This window comes from Homo sapiens, chromosome 1, assembly GCF_000001405.40.
Source record: "Homo sapiens chromosome 1, GRCh38.p14 Primary Assembly".
Classification (NCBI taxonomy): Eukaryota; Metazoa; Chordata; class Mammalia; order Primates; family Hominidae; genus Homo; species Homo sapiens.
This window is the reverse complement of record NC_000001.11, coordinates 91,373,923-91,396,682: the sequence shown is the minus strand read 5'-3', so window position 1 is coordinate 91,396,682 and position 22,760 is coordinate 91,373,923. Positions and strand designations below refer to the sequence as shown.

The following is a 22,760-nucleotide window of genomic DNA, read 5'->3' as shown; positions in this document are numbered from 1 at the left end:
ATTTAAGATTCCTGTTACTGGCATTTGAATTGGAGAAAAGGAGATAGAGTTATTGCCATTATTTAGGTAGCATATCTCACACAGCGGTATCATTAATCCTATGATATATAAGGGTAAAAGGTTGAGAACACTGCTGTATAGGGATAAATCAAAGTGCTGACAGAAAGTTAATTTATAGAATGTTTAAGAGTCCAATTGAGTAATGTTTAATAAACACATAGCTTCTCATGTTATATCTTTATTAACATATATACTCACATTTTTATATTTTATATAGCCATCCAGACAATGAAAAGTCATTGGATTGGTTTCTCCCTCCTGCTCCATTGATTTCAGAAATTCCAGATACTCAGGAGTTAGAGGAAGAATTAGAAAGTCATAAACTGTTAGGTAAATTATCACATATTTGTTTTGAAGCCAAACCCATACAGTTCATGGCAATATTTTTTTAAAAAACCCTGATTTGATTGTTACACGTTGTGTATACATGTATCAAAATAATGCATATGCCCCCAAAATATGTATACTCATATTGGGTATTGATTTCAGAAATTTCAGATACTCAGGAGTTAAAGGAAGAATTAGAAAGTCTGGGAGGCCGAGGTGGGCAGATCACCCAGCCTGGCCAATATGATGAAACCCCATCTCTACTAAAAATACAAAAAAACTAGCTAGGCGTGGTGGTGTACACCTGTAGTCCCAGCTACTCGGGAGGCTGAGGCAGGAGAATGGCTTGAACCCAGGAGGCAGAGGTTGCAGTTAGCTGAGATTGCACCACTGCACTCTATCCTGGGCAATAGAGGGAGACTCTGTCTCAAAAAAAAAAAAAAAGTAATAAACTGTTAGGCAAATTATCACATATTTGTTGTGAAGCCAAACCCATACAGTTCATGGCAATATTTTTTTAAAAACTCTGATTTGATCATTACACATTGTATATGCATGTATCAAAATATCAGATACCCCCCCAAAATATGTATACTCGTTATGTAAACAATTAAAATTTCTTTATTTTAATGAAATAAAATGAAAGTCAGATCCTTCTTTTATTAAAAAGAGTGCTCACCAAGCTGGATGCAGTTGACACCTGTAGTCCCAGCTACTTGGGAGTCTGTGAATAGCCACTGCACTCCAGCCTGGGCAACATAGTGGGACCCTATCTCTAAATAAATAAATAAATATATAAACAAACAAACAGATCCTCCTCATCTCTAAATACATACATACCCCCAAAAACAAAATAGTGCCCACCAAATCTTAAAATTTAAAATATTTTTCTTCTCTATACATATAATACACATACATACGTGTACATAAATGCACATAATACACTACTACATGTTTTGATTTTTGTTTTATGAATATTTTTTCTGTGACTATTAAACTCCTATCACTGCTGTTCAGTTTTTGCCTTGCCATTTCCTAAAGGTAAGATCGCCTGGTAACCAGATCCCAGAAATATTGAGTGAAAAAAGCTAGATGCAGAAGATTAAATATAGGGTGATACCATTTTTAAAAAGCTCAAAAACAAGCACACTCAAACAATGTATGTGACCTAATGTAATATTAGTAAAATTTTAATTTTTAAATTGGGTCATAGGTTCATGCACATTCATTTTATTATTAAGCTTTGTAATTTACATATATGTTATATATATACTTATATCAAATAATATATAGCATAGTGTATAATGTAGATACATAGATGCTAAAGCAAATTTAAGTTCTAGTAAGACGTCCAAATTCCCCCTAAACTTCCCTAAAAATTCTTGCAAAGCCTCTAAAGAAACCTTTAAACTTCTGTCACTCTGATGAAAACATTCCTTTATTTTGATTTTAGAAGCAAGATTGCAAACTTAAAAGCATTAGATATGTTAATAATGAATTGTGTTTGGTAACATTTTATATAATTGGTCATTGTATTTCTGTGTGTAAATCATTTATATAAATTTTAAATCTTCATAATTGTATAATTATATCATTTGTTATGGGTCAGAAAGAAATTAAATCTATTTTATAATGCAGTGCCATATAAACTTCAAATTTAATTCAATACTTCCACATTAATTTCTGAGTGTCTGTTAATGATGTAATATACCATAAGTGTAACAATCACCTATATTTTAAAACCGTATATGGTATTACAGATGAGCTTATTACTAGTGCTTTGCTTTTGGCTTTCATACTTAACTTGGAATTTTTATTAAAGTTTTTCATCATCATTTTGAAAATTTCCTTTAATGGAGAACATGTAATAATTAAGATATTCCTTTTTTGTAGGTCAGGAAAAGAGGCCAAAAATGTTAACATCAAATTTAAAGATAACTAATGAAGATACAAATTATATTTCACTAACACAAAAATTCCAGTTTGCCTTTCCTTCTGATAAATATGAACAGGATGATCTAAATTTAGAAGGGGTAGGTAATAATGACTTATCACATATTGCTGGCAAGCTGACATATGCTTCTCAGAAATATAAAAATCACATTGGCACTGAGATAGCACCTGAGAAGAGTGTTCCTGATGATACAAAATTAGTTAATTTTGCAGAAGATAAAGGAGAGAGCACATCAGTATTCCGGAAAAGGTAATTATTATAATTAAACTAAATAATATTCTGTGAATAAAGTTGAATATTTGTACATATAAAAGTATTAAATATGGTACAATGTGAATGAGAAAAACAGCAAAATTCTATCTCCTAAATAATTCCTTACTTTCTCCATTCCTGGTGTCATAGTCCTGGTCCTACACATAAAAATAACCATAATTGTAATATATAACTATCTACTATAAATGGTACCACAACAGTCCAGGTGGGACACAGGAATCTTCATTTTTAACAAATTTTCTAGGTGATTATTATGCACACAAAAGTTTGAGACCCATTTTCCTAATGCCTTGGGTTTGAACAGAGGAGTGAAATTAGACTTTCTTTTCTTTAAGAGTTCATTTTGGCCCCAGTATGGAGGATAAATTATAATAGAAGGGAGTTAAAATATGAAGGTCCACTTGAAAGGTTATCTTATTAGTCTAGATGGGAGAAAATGGTAGCCTGACCTAGGACAGTGGTATCAGGAATGGAAACAATCCAGAATTATTTAGGAGATAAAATCCCACAGGACTTAAGTGATTATTGGATATGAGATCTGACTCCTAGGTTTTTGGTTTGAGCCAGAATGATGAAGGTTGGTAGTGCCCTTTTTTGATTTAAAGAACTATAAAGTAAGAACAGGTTCGGGGGAAGGTGATGAGTACAGATATGGACATGTTGATTTTAGATATTTATAAATAGTTCAGATATTCAGTTGGGTATGTGGATTCAAGATTCAGAAGAAGTTTAGTTGATTGTTTTTGTTTTCTGTGACATAGGAGATGTGGTTATCTGTGGAGTTTGAGAGAGAAAGTGAGAGTATTGAGCAAGAATGAGAAGAATGGAATAAATTATGGAGAATGGGAAAGCAGTCTAATTAGAATAATGGTAGGACTGATGGACACTGTAAAGGGTCCAGCTGAGGTTGATTTCTATAATGTTTGTAATAACAGCTTTATTAAGATATAATTCACATACCATAAAATTCACCTTTTTAAAGTGTAGAATTATTTTATTTTCTTATTTTTTTCATTCTTATGTATTTACCCACGTTGGTTTTTATAATGCATACTTTTGCAACCATCATTATTAACTAATTTTAAAACATTTTCACCTCCTGCAAAATAAATTCCTTACTAATTAACAGTTACTCTTCATTTCTCCCTTTCCACAGCACCTGGTGGCCACTAATCTACTTTCTGTCTCTATCATCTCTATGGATTTATCTATTCTAAACATTTCATATAAGTGCAATTATACAAAATATGGCTATTTGTGCCTGGCTTCTTTCACTTAACGTAACATTTTTTTTTGGAGGTGAATATTTTTCTTTTCTTTTTAAATTATACTTCAAGTTATAGAGTACCTGTGCACAACATGCAGGTTTGTTACATATGTATACATGTGCCATGTTGGTGTGCTGCACCCATTAACTCGTCATTTACATTAGGTATTTCTTCTAATGCTATCCCTTCCCCACCCCCAACCCCATGACAGGCCCCGGTGTGTGATGTTCCCCACCCTGTATGCAAGTGTTCTCATTGTTCAATTCCCATCTATGAGTGAGAACACGTGGTGTTTGGTTTTCTTTCCTTACGACAGTTTGCTCAGAATGATGGTTTCCAGATTCATCCATGTCCCTGCAAAGGACATGAACTCATCCTTTTTTATGGCTGCATAGTATTCCATGATGTATATGTGCCACATTTTCTTAATCCAGTCTATCATTGATGGACATTTGGTTGGTTCCAAGTCTTTGCTATTGCGAATAGTGCCGCAATAAACATACGTGTGCACGTGTCTTTATAGTAGCATGATTTATAATCCTTTGGGTATATACCCAGTAATGGGATGGCTGGGTCAAATGGTATTTCTAGTTCTAGATCCTTGAGGAATTGCCATATTGTCTTCCACAATGGTTGAACTAGTTTACAGTCCCACCAACAGTGTAAAAGTGTTCCTATTTCTCCACATCCTCTCCAGCACCTGTTGTTTCCTGACTTTTTAATGATCACCATTCTAACTGGTGTGAGATGGTATCTCATTGTGGTTTTGATTTTCATTTCTCTGATGGCCAGTGATGATGAGCATTTTTTCATGTGTCTGTTGGCTGCATAAATGTCTTCTTTTGAGAATCGTCTGTTCATATCCTTTGCCAACTTTTTAATGGGGTTGTTTGATTTTTTTCTTGTAAATTTGTTTAAGTTCTTTGTAGATTCTGGATATTAGCCCTCTGTCATATGGGTAGATTGCAAAAGTTTTCTCCCATTGGTTGCCTGTTCACTCTGATGGTAGTTTCTTTGCTGTGCAGAAGCTCTTTAGTGTAATTAGATCCCATTTGTTTATTTTGGCTTTTGTTGCCGTTGCTTTTGGTGTTTTAGTCATGAAGTCCTTGCCCATGCCTATGTCCTGAGTGGTATTGCCTAGGTTTTCTTCTAGGGTTTTTATGGTTTTAGTCTAACATTTAAGTCTTTAATCCATCTTGAATTAATTTTCGTATAAGGTGTAAGGAAGGAATCCAGTTTCAGCTTTCTACATATGGCTAGCCAGTTTTCCCAGCACCATTTATTAAATAGGGAATCCTTTCCCCATTTCTTGTTTTTGTCAGGTTTGTCAAAGATCAGATGGTTGTAGATGTGTGATATTATTTCTGAGGGCTCTGTTCTTTTCTGTTGGTCTATATCTCTGTTTTGGTACCAGTATCATGCTGTTTTGGTTACTGTAGCCTTGTAGTATAGTTTGAAGTTAGGTAGCGTGATGCCTCCAGCTTTGTTCTTTTTGCTTAGGATTGCCTTGGCAATGCGGGCTCTGTTTTGGTTCCCTGTGGACTTTAAAGTAGTTTTTTCCAATTCTGTGAAGAAAGTCATTGGTAGCTTGATGGGGATGGCATTGAATCTATCAATTACCTTGGGCAGTATGGCCATTTTCACAATATTGATTCTTCCTATCCATGAGCATGGAATGTTCTTCCATTTGTTTGTGTCCTCTTTTATTTCATTGAGCAGTGGTTTGTAGTTCTCCTTGAAGAGGTCCTTCACATCCCTTGTAAGTTGGATTCCTAGGTATTTTATTCTCTTTGTAGCAATTGTGAATGGGAGTTCACTCATGATTTGGCTCTCTGTCTGTTATTGGTGTACAGGAATACTTGTGATTTTTGCATGTTGATTTTGTATCCTGAGACTTTGCTGAAGTTGCTTATCAGCTTAAGGAGATTTTGGGCTGGGACAATGGGGTTTTCTAAATATACAATCATGTCTTCTGCAAACAGGGACAATTTGACTTCCTCTTTTCCTAATTGAATACCCATTATTTCTTTCTCCTACCTGATTGCCCTGGCCAGAACTTCCAACACTATGTTGAATAGGAGTGGTGAGAGAGGGCATCCCTGTCTTGTGCCAGTTTTCAAAGGGAATGCTTCCAGTTTTTGCCCATTCAGTATGATATTGGCTGTGGGTCTGTCATAAATAGCTCTTATTATTTTGAGGTATATCCCATGAATTCCTAGTTTATTGAGAGTTTTTAGCATGAATGGCTGCACTTAATATTTTTAAGGTTCATGCATGTTGTGTTATGTATCAGTCTTTCATTCTTTCCCTCCCTGCCTCCCTCCTTCCTTCCTTCCTTCCTTTCTTTCTCTCTTTTTTTTTTTTTCTTTGGGAGTCTTACTCTGTCACCCAGGCTTGAGTGCAGTGGTGTGATCTTGGTTCGCTACAGCCTCTGCCTCCCAGGTTCAGGCAATTCTCCTGCCTCAGCCTCCCGAGTAGCTAGAACTACAGGCGTGCGCCACCACACCCGGCTAATTTTTGTATTTTTAGTAGAGACGGAATTTCACCATGTTGACCAGGATGGTCTTCATCTCCTGACTGTGTGATCTGTCTGCCTCGGCCTCCCAGTATTGGGATTACAGGCGTAAGCTACCATGCCTGGCCAGTATTTCATTTTGTTTTAATGGCCAAATAATAATCCATTAAATGGATATATCACATTTTGTTTATTTACTTATCAGTTGATGGATGTTTGGGTTGTTTTCACTTTTTGTCTATTGTGAATAATATTGCTATGAAAATGCATGCAAGTTTTTGTGTGAATGTGTGTTTTCAATTCTTTGGATATAAACCCAGAAGTAGAATTGCTGGGTCATATGGTAACTTTATATTTAACTTTTCTGAGGAACTGCCAAATTGTTTTCCAAAGTGGCTGCGTCACTTTATAGTCCCATCAGCAATATTTGAGAGTTCCAGTTTCTCCACATTCTGTCCAGTACTTGTTATTTTCTGTCTTTTTTATTATAGCCATCCTACTGGGTATGTGAAGAGGTATCTCATTGTGGTGTATCTCATTTTCTTAATGACTAATTGTCTTAGTTATTTTGAGCTGGTATAATGAAATACTGTAGATTGGGTGGTGTAAATAACAAACATTTGTTTACACGATTCTGGAGGCTGGAAGTCAGAAATCAGAGTGCCAGCATTGTTGGGTTCTTGATGACGACCCTCTTCCTAGTTATGTTCTCCCATGGTTTTTCTTTGGTGTGTGTATGAACAGAGAGAGCTCATGTTTCATCCTCTTTTTATAAGGGCATTAATTCCATCATGGGGAGGTACCCTCATGACCTCATCTAAACCCAATTACCTGCCAAAGGCCCCACCTCCAAATACCATAACATTGGGAGGCTGAGGCGGGCAGATCACAAGGTCAGGAGTTCGAGACCAGTCTGACCAACATGGTAAAACCCTGTCTCTACTAAAAATACGAAAATTAGCCAGATGTGGTGGCATGCGCCTGTAATCCTAGCTACTCAGGAGGCTGAGGCAGGAGAATCACTTGAACCCGGGAGGCGGAGCTTGCAGTGAGCCGAGATCACACCACTGCACTCCAGCCTGGGTGACAGAGCGAGACTCCAGCCTGGGTGACAGAGCCAGACTCAATCTCAAAAAAAAAAAAAAAAAAAAAACCCAACAAAAAAACCCACTGGGGATTAGGGCCTCAACATATGAATCTGGAGGGAGGGACATTAATATCCAGTCTGTAGCAATAATGTTAAGAATATTTTCATGTGATTATCAGCCATTCGTATGTCTTCTTTGGAGTAATGTCTTATTCAGATCCTTTGTCCATATTTTAATTGGGCTATTTGTCTTTTAATTGTTGAGTTTTAAGAGTTCTTTATTCCCAATAACAGTCTCTTATCATCTGTATGATTTGCAAGTATTTCCCCCATTCTGTGGGTTTTCACTTTTTTGATGGTGTTCTTCGCAGCGCAAGTTTTAAATTTTGATAGAGTCCAGTTTATCTAATTTTTCTTTTATGCTTATGCTTTTGCTTTGATGTAATACTGATTTGGCGTCACTTTGGTTGCTTATGGTTTTGGTGTCATATCTAAGAAACTATTGCCTAATCCAAGGTCATGAAGATTTACTCTTAAGTTTTCTTCTAAGGGTTTCAGAGTTTTTAGCTCTTATGTTTACATTTGTGATCTATTATTTCATATTTTAAATATTTGTGTGAAGTAGGAGTTCATTCTCATTCTTTTTGCATGTAGATATTCAGATGTTCCAGCCTCATTTGTTGAAAAGACTGTTCTTTCCCTACTGAATGTCATGACACTGTCATTGGAAATCAACTGACCATAAATGTAAAGACTGGGTGTTGACTGACACCGACTGATTCTCTGACACCAACTTGGCATCTAACAATTTAAATCAATTTGAAACTTAACTCCTGGAATTAGCGTCAGACCCCACAGGTTGAAGGCTCAGTTCTGTAAGACTGACCTCACTTTGAATTCCAGCTGAAAATGAGATTCCCAGGCTACCCACATTTCTGTCTGGCCAACTACAAATTTGAGGCTTCCCATGACCCCATCTTAGGTTTAATAATTTGCTAGAATGACTCAGAGACCTAAGGGAAACACTTTACTTACATTTACCAGCTTATTATAAAGGGTACAACTCCAAATGAAAGAGATACATATGGCAAAATATGAGGGAGGGGGTGCAGAGTTCCCATAACTTCTCTGAGCATGACACTCTGTCAGCACCTTGATGTGTTCACCATTCCAGAAGCTCTCAGAACCCTGTTGTTTAGGCATTTTAATGGAGGTTCTATTTCTTTTTTTTGTTTGTTTGTTTTAAAAATCTTTTTTTTTTTTTTTTAATTTTTTTTTTTTAATTATACTCTAAGTTTTAGGGTACATGTGCACATTGTGCAGGTTAGTTACATATGTATACATGTGCCATGCTGGTGCACTGCACCCACTAACGTGTCATCTAGCATTAGGTATATCTCCCAATGCTATCCCTCCCCCCTCCCCCGACCCCACCACAGTCCCCAGAGTGTGATATTCCCCTTCCTGTGTCCATGTGATCTCATTGTTCAATTCCCACCTATGAGTGAGAATATGCGGTGTTTGGTTTTTTGTTCTTGCGATAGTTTACTGAGAATGATGGTTTCCAATTTCATCCATGTCCCTACAAAGGACATGAACTCATCATTTCCGGGGACAGTGCCAGGTGGGGAGTTTGACTGGGGCTGTACACCTGTCAAACGGTAACGCAGGTGTCCTAAGGCGAGCTCAGGGAGGACAGAAACCTCCCGTGGAGCAGAAGGGCAAAAGCTCGCTTGATCTTGATTTTCAGTACGAATACAGACCGTGAAAGCGGGGCCTCACGATCCTTCTGACCTTTTGGGTTTTAAGCAGGAGGTGTCAGAAAAGTTACCACAGGGATAACTGGCTTGTGGCGGCCAAGCGTTCATAGCGACGTCGCTTTTTGATCCTTCGATGTCGGCTCTTCCTATCATTGTGAAGCAGAATTCACCAAGCGTTGGATTGTTCACCCACTAATAGGGAACGTGAGCTGGAGGTTCTATTTCATAGACAAGACTGATGAAATCACTGGCCATTGCTAATTAAACTTGATCTTCAGCCCCTGAATGGATAAGTCATCTCCATTACTTATTCTATAAGATGTGAATGTTTTATTAGGAACCTTAACGGTTACTTCATCCCTTAGGGATATTGTGAACAAGTTACTTCGATAGATTGTCTTTTGATCAAATATAATACAGTACAGTCATAAAGTGTTTCCTTGTTTTTAGAACTTTGCAGAGAAGTAGTTCTTACATTGAAATGGTTATTGGATATAGTGTTTGGGATGATTTAATCTGCTAATATACTTAGTTTATATCTTTTCCTTTTTGGGGGGATACACAATGCTGATTTGATTGGCTAGGAAAACTGTCTTATCTGGTAGCTTCTGTGGCGTGAAATGCAGTTGCTGACAACTTTTAATTCATAACAAGTCTGTTAACTTATTCCTATAAATTGAATATGTTAATATAATTCAGTAACTTGAATCACTTCAGTTAAATTTAAATACTATTAGGTGTTATGAAATTTACTATTTACTGTGACTATATTTAGTGGCTTTTTCTCTCTCTTAAGCACTTTACTGACTTTAAATGGAACATTAGTTATCTGTTGTTGTATAATAAAATTATCCCAAAATGTAGTAGTTTAAAACAACAATGAACATTATTATCTCTCACAGTTTCTCCAGGCTAGGAATTTAGGAACAACTTAGCTAGTAGTTCTGGCTTAGGCTCTCTTGTGAGAATGCGTAAAGGTATTGGGGGCCTCTCACAAGAAGGCCACAATCAAAATGTTAGCCATGCTGCAGTCATCTGAAAGCTTGACAGGAGCTATCAGGTCTCTCTTCAAGGTGGCTTGCTGTCCTTGACTGAAAAGTCAGTGCTGGTTGTTGGCAGGAGACCTCAGTACCTCTCCACCTGGGCCTCTTCATAGGGTTGTTTGAGTGCTTTCTTTATATTGTGACTAGCTCTCCACAGAGTGAGAGATCTAAGAGACCATGGGGAAGGGGCAATGTCTTTTATTACCTAGCCTTGTAAGTCAAACATTTACACTTCTGCAGTACTCTGCTAGTTAGACAGGCCAGTCCTGATTCAGCGATTCAATTTGTAGGAGACTGTAAAGGGGTGAGGAGCAGGCAAGGATCATTGGGCTGTTTTGGAGGATGACTGCCACAAATGGATTTATCTGAGTTTTAGGAAAGTAGAAAGACATACTTCAGTGGTAAACTAGCAAGTTATATTTTAGGAGAATGTTTAGCTTTTTTGTTTGAGTAAACCATAATCTATGAGTGTTTTTAAGGGGGCCAATTTTATGCTAGTTTTTCATATTCCAAGCAAGTGTTACACGTGAGAAAATATGTGGGTCTTTTTTTTGTTTGCAGATTATTTAAAATATCTGACAATATACATGGGAGTGCTTATTCTAATGACAATGAATTGGACTCTCACATTGGCTCAGTGAAAATTGTACAAACAGAAATGAACAAAGGGAAATCAAGGAACTATAGCAATAGTAAGCAAAAATTTCAGTATTCTGCAAATGTGTTTACAGCAAATAATGCTTTTTCTGCTTCTGAAATCGGAGAAGGCATGTTCAAAGCACCATCTTTTTCAGTTGCTTTCCAACCTCATGATATTCAAGGTAATTTCTTGCTTTTTCAGTTCATTTTATGAGTACAGACTAAACCACATTTCTTAGCATGGGGGAAAATGTAAAAATATAGTAAATTTGAGTAAATTATCTCTCTGTGCAATTTCTGCATTTTTTTATTATATTGCATTATTTTCTAAGCTGTGCTGTGTGTTAAAATATTTTATCCTGTGTGCTAAAAATATTTTTAACTTTGCTCTCAATAAAAAGTTGTGTTAGTTTTATTGAAACAGTTTTTATGGAAAGGTTAAAAATATTCATTTCAGGTCCTAGCTTCTGACCATTAATTTTTTTTTGATATTTATATAAATATGTAGCATTTTTTTTTCAGAGGTAACAGAAAATGGTTTAGGTTCCTTGAAGGCTGTCACAGAAATTCGTATCCTTTAAGTTATTTACAATAGCTGCTTTGTATTTATTAAATCATAATTTTAAAACATTTGTTTAATTGTGTTTGTTTATTTTGGTTGATGGAGAAAAAGAGGGAAAAATTAATCTTTTTGGTGTTGTAAGAGGTACATGTGGCCGGGTGCGGTGGTTCACACCTGTAATTCCAGCACTTTGGGAGGCTGAGGCAGGCAGATCACGAGGTCAGGAGTTCGAGACCAGCCTGACTAACATGGTGAAACCTTGTCTCTACTAAAAATGTAAAAAATTAGCTGGGCCTGGTGGTGTGCACCTGTAATCCCAGCTACTCAGGGGGCTGAGGGAGGAGAATCGCTTGAACCTGGGAGGCAGAGGTTGCAGTGAGCTGAGATTGTGCCATTGCATTCTAGCATGGCAAAAGAGTGAGACTCCATCTCAAAAAAAAAAAAAAAGATGTATGTGTGTGATAGTGCTACTCAGGGTGTGATTGCAGACTGGTGCCGATTTGTGACCTGTTTGTTATCAGTTTATGGCAAATTAAGTACAGAAGTCAGATTTGTATTATTGGCAGAACTCTGAGCATATTTACTTACAAATAGGTACAGATAATTTCTCATCCTTTGAGAAAGAGCAGCCAAATTGGGTTGAACTGGGTAGGGGAAATGGATGAGAATGGGATATTGTGTGGATTGGGGACATTTCTACAGATCTAGTATTTTTGAAAATCTAATTTGGAGTTTATACCTAGAATCCAATTTTCATGTCTGGACATTTCCAGTGTAAATATTTTGAGTATGTTTGTGTGTTCTGGAGGTAACATTGTTTTTGCTTCTTTAATACCCTGTGTATGCCTATGATAGTGCACTTATTTTGTTTTAATTCACCAGCAGTTTATGTGACTGTTTCCCCATGATCTATGAACTCTTTGAAGGCAAACATCATGACTTATTTACCTGCCTATTTCCAAATACATTGAAAGGCAGATAAAGTAAGGCAGGTAAAGTAAGGAAATTGTTCTGGCAAAAGTAGAGACATAAGCAAGGGTGGAGGTAAAAAAGTATGAAATACATTTGGAAAGAATAAGCTTTCCAGTTTGGCTAAAGTGACAGATATGATTAAAGAAGTAATAAGAAATATTAGATAGTTATCTTAGAATCATATCATATAATGTCATGAATACCAAGGTCAAAGGTTTTTTTATTTTATTTTTATTTTTTATTTTTTCCCCCAGCTTTGTTGAGGTATAATTGACAAATAAAAATGGTATATTTTTTAAGGAGTACAACATGATATTTTTTAATATGTAAACATTGCAAAAATAATTACCACAATCAGGCTAATTAATGTATCTATCGCCTCTCATAGTTACTTCTTTTTTGTAGTGAAAATGCAATCTCTGTAATGAGGAGAAACCATGCAATATTTTTTAAGCAGTTCAAATATCATTTAAACTATGCTTTAGGAATATATAATTAGTGACTCAATGCTTGGCAATGCTCTAGCATCCACAAAAGTTATGGTCTAGTTGACAAAATGAAAAATGAATTCCAGATATTGCATAGCTGTGCTAGAGAAATCTAGGCAACAATAACTCTAATCCTGGGCACTCGAAGGATCATCTGACATAATTCTGAAGTATGGTTAGAAAATACTTGCCTGACTTCTCATGAAAAGTTGCCTCCAATGCAGATGGCTGATTTGATTAAAAATGAGGGAGAGGGATCAATAAGAGAGTTATACATGTTGATATAGTAACTATAAACATAGCCAGTGTTTAGCACTTTATTCAGCATAGTGTCTCAATGCTGCCACATTTTCTTTTCTGTGGTGATCAAAATAGGATGGAAACATAGGAAATATATTAGCAGTAAGCTGTTAAAGATGTTTAATTATCTGTACGATGGCTGATTCTTCTTATCCCTTACTGGAAAGCCTTTCCATAATATGACACTGGCTTTTAAAGAGCTTTGAGGATTTTTATGCTATATTAGCACAGCTGAAGTGATTCTGTTGTTTAGGGGTCTTTATTAGTTAGGACTACTGCCTACACTTGTGTCCACTGATTTATTGTCCAAAAAGTTCATTTTGTGTAAAACTCATTGTCCTATACCTTATTGTTTCCAAGTATGTATTTTAAAGTGGAAGACTGAATGCTATTTGTGATAATTTGAGAGTTTGTAGATTACTTGGACACACCTTATTTTCTTATTCTCTTTAAATATTTTACTGCATTTGAATCCTCAGGGCAATAGACGTTTTCTCAGATTGGTCCTACCACAGTAGTCTTGTCATTTTCAGTTCTGCAGACATTTCCCCATTATTTCAGTGACACTGCTGAGAGTTTATTGAATGTAAGGAAAAAAATTGATTTCAAGTGTTGATAGTGATGATAAATGATGTTAGCAGTTGAGTTTTCTTATGAGCTGAAATACTGATTCTATACTCTGAATCAAAGATTCATTTTGTGAATGATATGGAACTATCTAATGAGAGAAAAACCAACATGATGGCCCACTCGTGGGCTTGTTACAAATAAATATTTGATAGAAAGAGACATGTTTTGAAGGAAAATTGAGATTCCTTCTAAAGCTGATGGATTTTCAAACTCAAAATTACGTTTTTGTTTTGGCACAGATATGACACTTTGCACATCAGAAAGTAAAATGAGGATTTATAAATTAACTGCTTGATGTAATAATTGCAAACCTATATTAACTGAGTTATGTGTCAGGCACTGTTCTAAGTATTTGGGATATGTCACTTAAGAAAACAGACAATGAATCCTTGCTTTTGAGGAGATGACATTCTTGGGATGAGGGTGGGGAGGAAGCTAGATCTCAACAACTATAATAACATATAAATAAGTCAGAGTTTTTTAGAAAGTGGTGACTATTATGGGAAAAGAAAAAAGTAGAGCAGGGTAAGCGGGTTAAATTGGGACTGCTGGGATTTGTGGCTCAGGGTGTAGAATTAAACAGTACTTAGGGTAGACCTTGAGAAGGTCAGATTTAAGCACTTAATGGAGGGAAAAGAGCCAAGGAAATATGGAAGGAATAACAGTCTAGGCAGAGGGAAGGCCTCATGGCAGGATCGTAGCTGATGTTTTTGAAGAACAGCAGAGTTCAGTATAGCTAGAGGAGATGAGTCAGGGAGAAAGAGTAGTAGGACATGATGTCAGAGAGATAAAGGCAGGGGCTGATGCGGGGAGGGAGTGGCAGTGGGGAGACGATCATGTGGAGCCTTATAGCCATACACTTTGAGAGAAAGGGAGGAATTTGATCAGAGAAGTAATATGATGTAAGTTTAAACAGGATCACTACAGCAATCCATCAGTTCTTGTATATCTTTATAAAAATCCAGTTGTTTAAGTAACTGTGTACTTGTGTTCTCAGATATGTTCTTAACCATCTTATAACTTCTAATAGATTATAACAGTCTCAATTGTAGGAACTCATTTTCTTCTTTATTTATAGCTTCCCACAGCTTTCTAAATCTAGTAATGTATTCTGTATATAGTGTTCAATGACTGTAGTTGATATATTGTAAGAAGAATACCATGTAAATACAGATATCTCCCAATCTGTCAATAGACCCTCACCTTGGAGAGGGGACAGTTTATTCTTCATATCTGTTAATATTTTTGAACTTTCTTACAGGGGAAGGATGATTTAAGTTCTTCCTGTCAAGCCAGTATGTTGATAGTTATAATTAAACCCACCACTTAACACAACCAAATTATCAAAAACAAAGAGATTTGGTATTAGGTAACCAGAAACACATCAGCTAATGAAGTACAATCAATGCTTAATGAAATAGTTGAGTGAAATTCTGTACATTAAAGAAGAGATAAAAATCAAGTGGCCTTGTCAAGGTAAATAAGAAAAAGCACTACTCTGGAAAAGATAAACTAGAAGTGTAGTTCTGATTTACTTGCCATTATGTACTTGCATCTCTTCCATCATATTTAGCACTCAGGTATAACCCTTATATAATCTCTTATTTCCCTATAAGAACTTTGCAAATTCTTTTCAGAATATGGAGTGTGACTGGAGACTAGAATAATTTATGATAATTCTTTTCCTAAGATGCCAGATAGCAAATGTTAAAACCTCATCATTAAATATTGTCAGAATCTATATTAATGTAACTTAGTTTTAAAATAAAAGTAACTAATTTTTTAAATTCTGAAATATTTGACTCCTTAATGTTATTGTAAGCGGCAAAATTTAGAAGTATTTTCAAAGAATTTCCATATTTCAACTATATACAGTCCAAGGCCTTTGATGATGTAAGTATTTTATTTTACTTATTTATTTTTCTACCTTTCACTAGGTTATGATCACTAGATTGGGACAGCTGGGATTTACTAGATCTTTATGTCTGCACTGCCACACTCCATGTCTAGCACATTTAGGAGCTCAGAAAATATTTGGTAAATGAATACATGTGATTTTCATAGGTGGATTTGTTTGTATTTGAGTGCAGTGGTGAAATCTCAGCTCACTGCAACTTCTGCTTCCCAGGTTCAAGCGATTTTCCTGCCTCAGCCACCCAAGTAACTGGGATTACAGGCTTGAGACACCACTCCTGGCTAAGTTTTCTATTTGTAGTGGAGACAGAGTTTTGCTCTGTTGGCCAGGCTGGTCTCGAACTCCTGACCTCAAGTGATCTGCCTTCCTTGGCTTCCCAAAGTGCTGGGATTACAGGTGTAAGCCATCGCACTCAGCCAGGAATGATTTTCTCCTAGGTCTACATTGACAAATAAAACAGCATGATAAAATACTAATAGTGTTATTTTTCGAGAGTGGAGGCTCTGGAGCAAAGTTACAATTTTTATAACTTTAGAGGAAAAATGTTTGAACTATTATTCCTTAGATTCTTACTAAGACTTTTTTTTTAACAAATTGAGAATGTGTGTGAAAAAGTCTATATGTTACATGATTGATTACTTTTTATTTTTTAGCTTCTTTACACAGATAGGAATTTTGTGATTTGTGCTCCAACTGGTTCTGGAAAAACTGTAGTGTTTGAACTAGCTATAACAAGATTGTTAATGGAAGTACCATTGCCATGGTTGAATATTAAAATTGTTTACAGTAAGTATTTATTATAAGAGTGATGACTAATTATAATAATGAAAAACCATTGAAGCAAAATGAAGAAATAAATTCAGTTTCTGGCCTCAGGAATTACTTGATTTTCTATATATTTCTAGTAAAGTCTGGTCTTATTTGTCATTAAATTTAAAACACATTTTCCAAAATTATAAATAAAAAGTAATATTTGAATTGAGAATTTGACTTTTACATGCTTATTTTTTAAAGGACAGGCAAAATGAACAAATAAAATCAAATATTTTGTAATTCTAGAAATTTGCATAGGAACTTTTACTCTCCTTTCTTAGGTATGTATTTAAAAAATTTTTTTTAATCAAAGTAATATATGTATATGGATTAAAAATCAAATATCAGTAAAGGCCTTATAGTGAAAAGCAATAATCTTCTGCCCTACCTTTCTCCACTTTTAGTTACACTTGCCTGAGAAATCATTTCTATTTCTATTTTTAGTTCTTTTTGGCTATTACCTTGATATCTCTAAATCAAGCTTGTCTAACTTGTGGCCTGCAGGCTGCATGTGGCCCAGGATGGCTTTGAATGCGGCCCAGCACAAATTTGTAAACTTACGACAAATTTGTAATGTTTGTAAAACATTATGAGAATTTTTTTTCTTTAGCTTATCAGTCATCGTCAGTGTTAGCATATTTTATGTGTGGCTCAATACAGTTCTTCTTCCAGTGTGGCCCAGGGAAGCCAAAAGACTGGACACCCCTGCTGTAAATAATGTGCCTATATTGTTCATTTTTAATTTATCAATATTAGGAGTATGTAGATGTGTATTTTTTATGCTAACTTTATTAACCAAAGTTTGTGAAAAGAATTTTAAAATTGAACTGATGTTCAAAGTAAATATTTTATATTGTTACAGTGGCACCAATAAAAGCCTTGTGCAGTCAGCGTTTTGATGACTGGAAAGAAAAATTTGGACCAATAGGATTGAATTGTAAAGAACTTACTGGAGATACAGTAATGGATGATCTATTTGAGATTCAGCATGCCCATATTATTATGACAACTCCAGTAGGTATTATTTATACTTTATGATTTCTTTAGTTTGTTAGAAAATACCTATTTTTCTTTACTGAGATAAAAAGTTTAAAAAATATAAACTAGAAACATATATTTACAATGCAAACAAACAAACATTAAAAAAATACTACAATTCAAGGTACAGACAGAATACCTACAAATCAGTAAGTAAAAGACAAATGACCAAATTGGAAAAATTGACAAAGAATAGGCAGTTTGTTATTGTGGATACTTTGTAATCATATTTATTGCTTTTTTCTTTTACCTAAGTAGTATGTTTTATAGAGGGAGGTCCTTGGTAGAATTTAAAAATAGGTAACAAAACTTGGACTTTGAATATTTTGTGGTTCAGTGTAAAAACAATTGAGGGCCCAGTTTTAAAAATACCTTTAAGACTGTAAAAATTCTTTAAGTATTTTTTAATTTTAAAATATTTTTCAGAATACTCTTAAGGGATCAACCAAAATTGCCTATTATTTGTAATACGTCATGTTAAAAATGTTTTTGATATCTTAATATTTATTATAATTCCTTATCACATTAAACTACTTGTATGCTTTTTTTTCTCTCTAGGAAAAATGGGATAGCATGACTAGGAAATGGAGAGACAACTCTTTGGTTCAGCTGGTTCGACTGTTTCTCATTGATGAGGTAATGAATGCATTCGCTTTCAGAGATAAACATAAAAGGATAATTAGAATAAGACAGAAAGAAAAAAGACATTGCAACCAAACTATATGTTTGTTTTATCCCTTCAAGTGGAAAATGCTCATTTTCTCAAGCAAGAATGTTAATATTATTGAATATTTTAATTGATTAAATGTATTTTTAATTCTATAGCTAATGATTTTTTCTTGATTTCCTGCTTAGGTACATATTGTAAAAGATGAAAATCGTGGTCCAACTCTTGAAGTTGTAGTTAGCAGAATGAAAACTGTACAGTCTGTTTCTCAGACTTTAAAAAATACCAGCACTGCTATTCCAATGCGATTTGTAGCTGTATCTGCAACAATTCCAAATGCTGAGGATGTGAGTTACAATTTTAACTGAGCTCTTAGGTTTTTTATGACTTGTGAAATATTTAGTCATCTTGATCATAGAGAAAAGTGAATTTTTTTGTCCTTTCCTTTAATAGGAAAGTATGTTGTAGAAAGTTGTGGCTAGATCTCATAAATATAACAGTATTAAGGCCATAAAATTTGGTTAATCAGGTTTAATAAAACATTTTTTGTGGACATGTGGACATCTCGTTTGCTAGTATCTAACAGTCTTAGTTTCCTGGGTTTCAGGTGCCTCATAGTAACTTCACTAACAATATGTGATGGTTGTTGTAACTAGCTGACTCTAATTGTATAGCAAAGTATGGTGGAGAATAAAAATAATTGCTTAGATGATTACCACTTGCTCCTCAATTCTGTATGCTTGGCATTGTGGTAAGCACTAAATATAGATGCAAAAGTGAAAATATATGGACTCCGTCCTTGAGGAGGATCTCATGGTTAATGGGGTACATGGACATGTAAAGAAATAATCATGTGCACTATTATACTTTCCATAATGAATATATGACTTAATTTTTTCTTCAATTTTTAAGTAAACGTCTTGAAAAATAATAGTCTCACTCTACTTTCTCACTCCTACTTACTTCTCAGCCTACTATAATACTGGTTTTCCCCTACTACTTCTTAGAAATTGTTTTCACAAATAGCCACTATATTGTCTATTCCAATGGAATATTTTGTCTTTATCGTTAATTTGGCACAATTAATCATTTTCTTGTTCTTGAAATGACAACTTGTTTTGTTCATATTTTTCAAGAATAATATAGAAAAATTTAAAGTTTATTACAACAACAAAACTAAATCCTAGCGTTTATCTTTACACATGTAGGAAGCATAATGTACATACTTTTTTTTGTAAGCATGTAGGAATCATAATGTACATACTCTTTTTTTGACCTGCATTTCACCTTTAAACATTTTTATATCATTAAATATTCTTCAATACTATTTTTGTGGTTTTATTGTAATTTATTTATCAAACACTATAACAATGGAAGATTAAGTTATTTCCAATTTTTGCTATTGTAAACAGTGAAATTAATGTATCTGAAACATCCATGATTATTTCCTTAGGATGAACTTCTAGAATGAATTAACTGAATCAAAGGATATATAAAACTCTAAAGAAGTGCTTCTTTCAATAAATGTTATATTCATTTACACTTCTACCAGAGGCTATTTTCCTGTATCCTAACACTGGATAGTATAATAATGGAATTATTATTGCTATTATTATTTTTAAATATTTATAGGATTTATTGTTGAGTGTAGTATCTCATTTAAAAATTTTTTACTTCTTTGATTTCTACTAAGGTAAAATTTTAAATATATTTATCAACTACTTTGAGTTCTTTTTTTAAAACTTGCCAGGTTATGTCATTTGCCTTTTTTTCACATTGGAATACTAAATTTTTCTTAACTTATTTGTAAGCAATTATTATGTACTAGTACTGTCTAATTCTTGAAACTTTTCCCCTTTGTGATAAACACTACTTGTGTGAATGCTGTTTCTGTCTCTTTTGTCAGATCTTCTTCCTCCGTTTTTCCCTAAATTAAGGTTTTTATTCTTGGCCTTCTGCTCCCCTCTGTCTGTAAATTCTTATGTGATCTTATCCCTACTCATGATAACCTTGAGATTATTTTAATGTTTTCTACCTGTCAAAACAACAGTCAATTTCATAGCAGAGCATGGAGCCTGATTATTAACTGGGCTATGTAAAGATAAGGATTGCTTACCACAGTTCCAGAATCTAGCTTGAGTCTGAAGTTTGCTTTTGGCACTGGCATCTCTCAAGTGTTTGTTGTTTGCTTAAAAACTTGTCAACCCTTGCCAACCTAAACCAACTATTAATTTGCTGCTATTTATCTAATATTTAGGACAACACAAAAGAGATGTCAGCCATTTTGAGGCGTAGTTTTCAAAAATAGCAAAGAAGTTAAAATAATAGTGAGAAATTTGGCCTCTATGACAAAATTGATAATTTTTCTTTGGATTCTTATGAAGGAAAATAAAACAAAATAATAATAATTAATTGGAAGTTTACCATGGTGAAAAGTGGGTATAATCTTGAAATACTACTATTGGTAGTGTTGACCACTATATCAACAGAATAATATTAATGGAATATGTAATATTGAAAAAGACAGCATACTTGATTAAATACTTTTATAGCTTGACCTTAAAGTGCTTTGTAATTGGGTTGTTTTTAGCAATAAAACTTTACTAGAAGAAAATTTTAATGCACATATTTTTGTGTTTCAAAGATTGCAGAATGGCTTTCAGATGGTGAAAGACCAGCTGTGTGTCTGAAAATGGATGAGAGCCATAGACCAGTGAAACTTCAGAAAGTGGTCCTTGGATTTCCCTGCAGTAGTAACCAAACTGAGTTTAAGTTTGATTTAACCCTCAACTACAAAATTGCCAGTGTTATACAAATGTACTCTGATCAGAAACCCACACTTGTGGTATGGATTGTTGATAGCTTATTTTTTAGTATATTCAGTTTTTAACATGATTAATACAAACGTTATGAATTTATTTTCAGTTTTGTGCAACAAGGAAGGGTGTGCAACAGGCTGCTTCTGTTCTTGTGAAAGATGCTAAATTTATTATGACTGTGGAACAGAAACAGAGGTATAGTATTTTATTTTTTCATGGAAGTAGAAGGACTTTTAGGGCTCATCTAGATGACATGAGAAAATTAGGCTTGTCCCATAACCTTGGGGTAAACCTCAGTGTCCTCATCTATAAAATAAGGATAATGATAATTTTGAGGATTAAGTGAGATAGTGAATCTTCGTACAGGGGTGATCCAGATTTCTTGAATGATAAAGATTATCCATACTACTATCTATTTTTTTTAACCTAATTTCAATCCAGCATCTTTTATAGTCTTTCACTAAAGCTGATCTTGCGAATTAATCTTTAAGGACTCTCTATCATATTTGGCCACTTCCACCTTACTTAAACACTCTGGACTCTGTGCTTCCATGATCATTTCTACTGATTTTCTTCCTCCTTTGCAGGCTGTTCGTTCTCAGTCCCCTTTTCACCTCTTCTACCCAACTCTTAAATGTTGACATTCGAGTGAGTATACCTGAGGTTCATTCTTTCTAATGCCACACTCTTAGGTGTTTGTAAGTACTCACATGAAGTTCAGATAATATTTATGCATGTCTATGAATTCCCACATTTATGCCTTCGGCCCAGACTTCCTTACTGAGCTCCAGGCCTATAGTCCATCTGTGTAACTGAATCCAGTTGTATGTCTACCAACAGTTATCTCAAACTCACTATGTACCAAATAGAACCTTGGTTCTTGCTCTCAGACCAGCTCCTTCTCCAGTGTTCCCCATCTTAATTATACATTATCTCCTTAGTTACTCATAGCAGAAAACTATGATTGATATCTTCTTCACCTTATACCCCACAATCAATTACGAAGTCCTGTTTATTCTTACTTCTAAATATATCTCAAATATGTCATTTTGTCTCCATCAACACTGCCACTTCCCTAATTCAAGTCACTAGTAATCTCTTGCCTAGGCTGTATCCTTTTCTTTAATCACTACACACACACTCTCTTATCCAGCTTTATTCTCTACATAGCATAGATTGTGTAAGATTGCAAATCTAAATGGCAGTTTCCTGCCTAAAACCCTTTAATAGATTCTTATTGTTCTGGGGATTAAATGCTAAATCCTTAGTGTAGCCTGCAGTAGCCCATGTAATGTGATGCCTAGCCAATTCTCCAGACTTTTCATGACCATTCTCCCCCTTTAATCATCACGGTCAAGCTGTATTAGCCTCTGTGTTCTGTGAATACACCAAACTGTTACTCTGTACAGCATTGTCTTGCATGGTGCTTGCTTTTACTGGAATGGTTTTCACCTAACTCCTATTTATCCTTCATGTCTAAACTTTAATATCAGTTTTCCATAGCCATCAGTTTCCCTGTATTTACTTTTATAAGCAACCTGTACTTGATTTCATAGCACTTACTATAATTATAATATCCTTTTGTTTAATAGTTATTTTAATATCTTTTCTATTAATTAGATTATCAACT

General features: G+C 34.8%; 1 protein-coding gene across 21 annotated transcripts in view; it reads left to right on the top strand.

Moving 5' to 3' along the window:
- The window catches only part of HFM1 (helicase for meiosis 1), a 147,242-nt gene that overhangs the window by 11,325 nt on the left and 113,157 nt on the right, over positions 1 to 22,760 (top strand). For 15 of the 21 annotated variants that reach the window (XM_011540852.3, XM_017000490.2, XM_017000491.2 and 12 more), the window contains exons 3-13: positions 278 to 390; positions 2,281 to 2,590; positions 10,849 to 11,108; positions 11,449 to 11,496; positions 15,701 to 15,771; positions 16,447 to 16,579; positions 17,469 to 17,620; positions 18,203 to 18,280; positions 18,500 to 18,658; positions 20,956 to 21,156; positions 21,237 to 21,325. In XM_011540852.3, coding sequence (XP_011539154.1) covers positions 278 to 390; positions 2,281 to 2,590; positions 10,849 to 11,108; positions 11,449 to 11,496; positions 15,701 to 15,771; positions 16,447 to 16,579; positions 17,469 to 17,620; positions 18,203 to 18,280; positions 18,500 to 18,658; positions 20,956 to 21,156; positions 21,237 to 21,325 — 1,614 coding nt within the window. Of the gene's footprint in view, positions 1 to 277; positions 391 to 2,280; positions 2,591 to 10,848; positions 11,109 to 11,448; positions 11,497 to 15,700; positions 15,772 to 16,446; positions 16,580 to 17,057; positions 17,625 to 18,202; positions 18,281 to 18,499; positions 18,659 to 20,955; positions 21,157 to 21,236; positions 21,326 to 21,743; positions 21,779 to 22,760 lie in introns of those variants that run through there. The other 6 variants (NR_165455.1, XM_011540855.3, XM_011540857.2 and 3 more) reach the window with 6 other exon arrangements.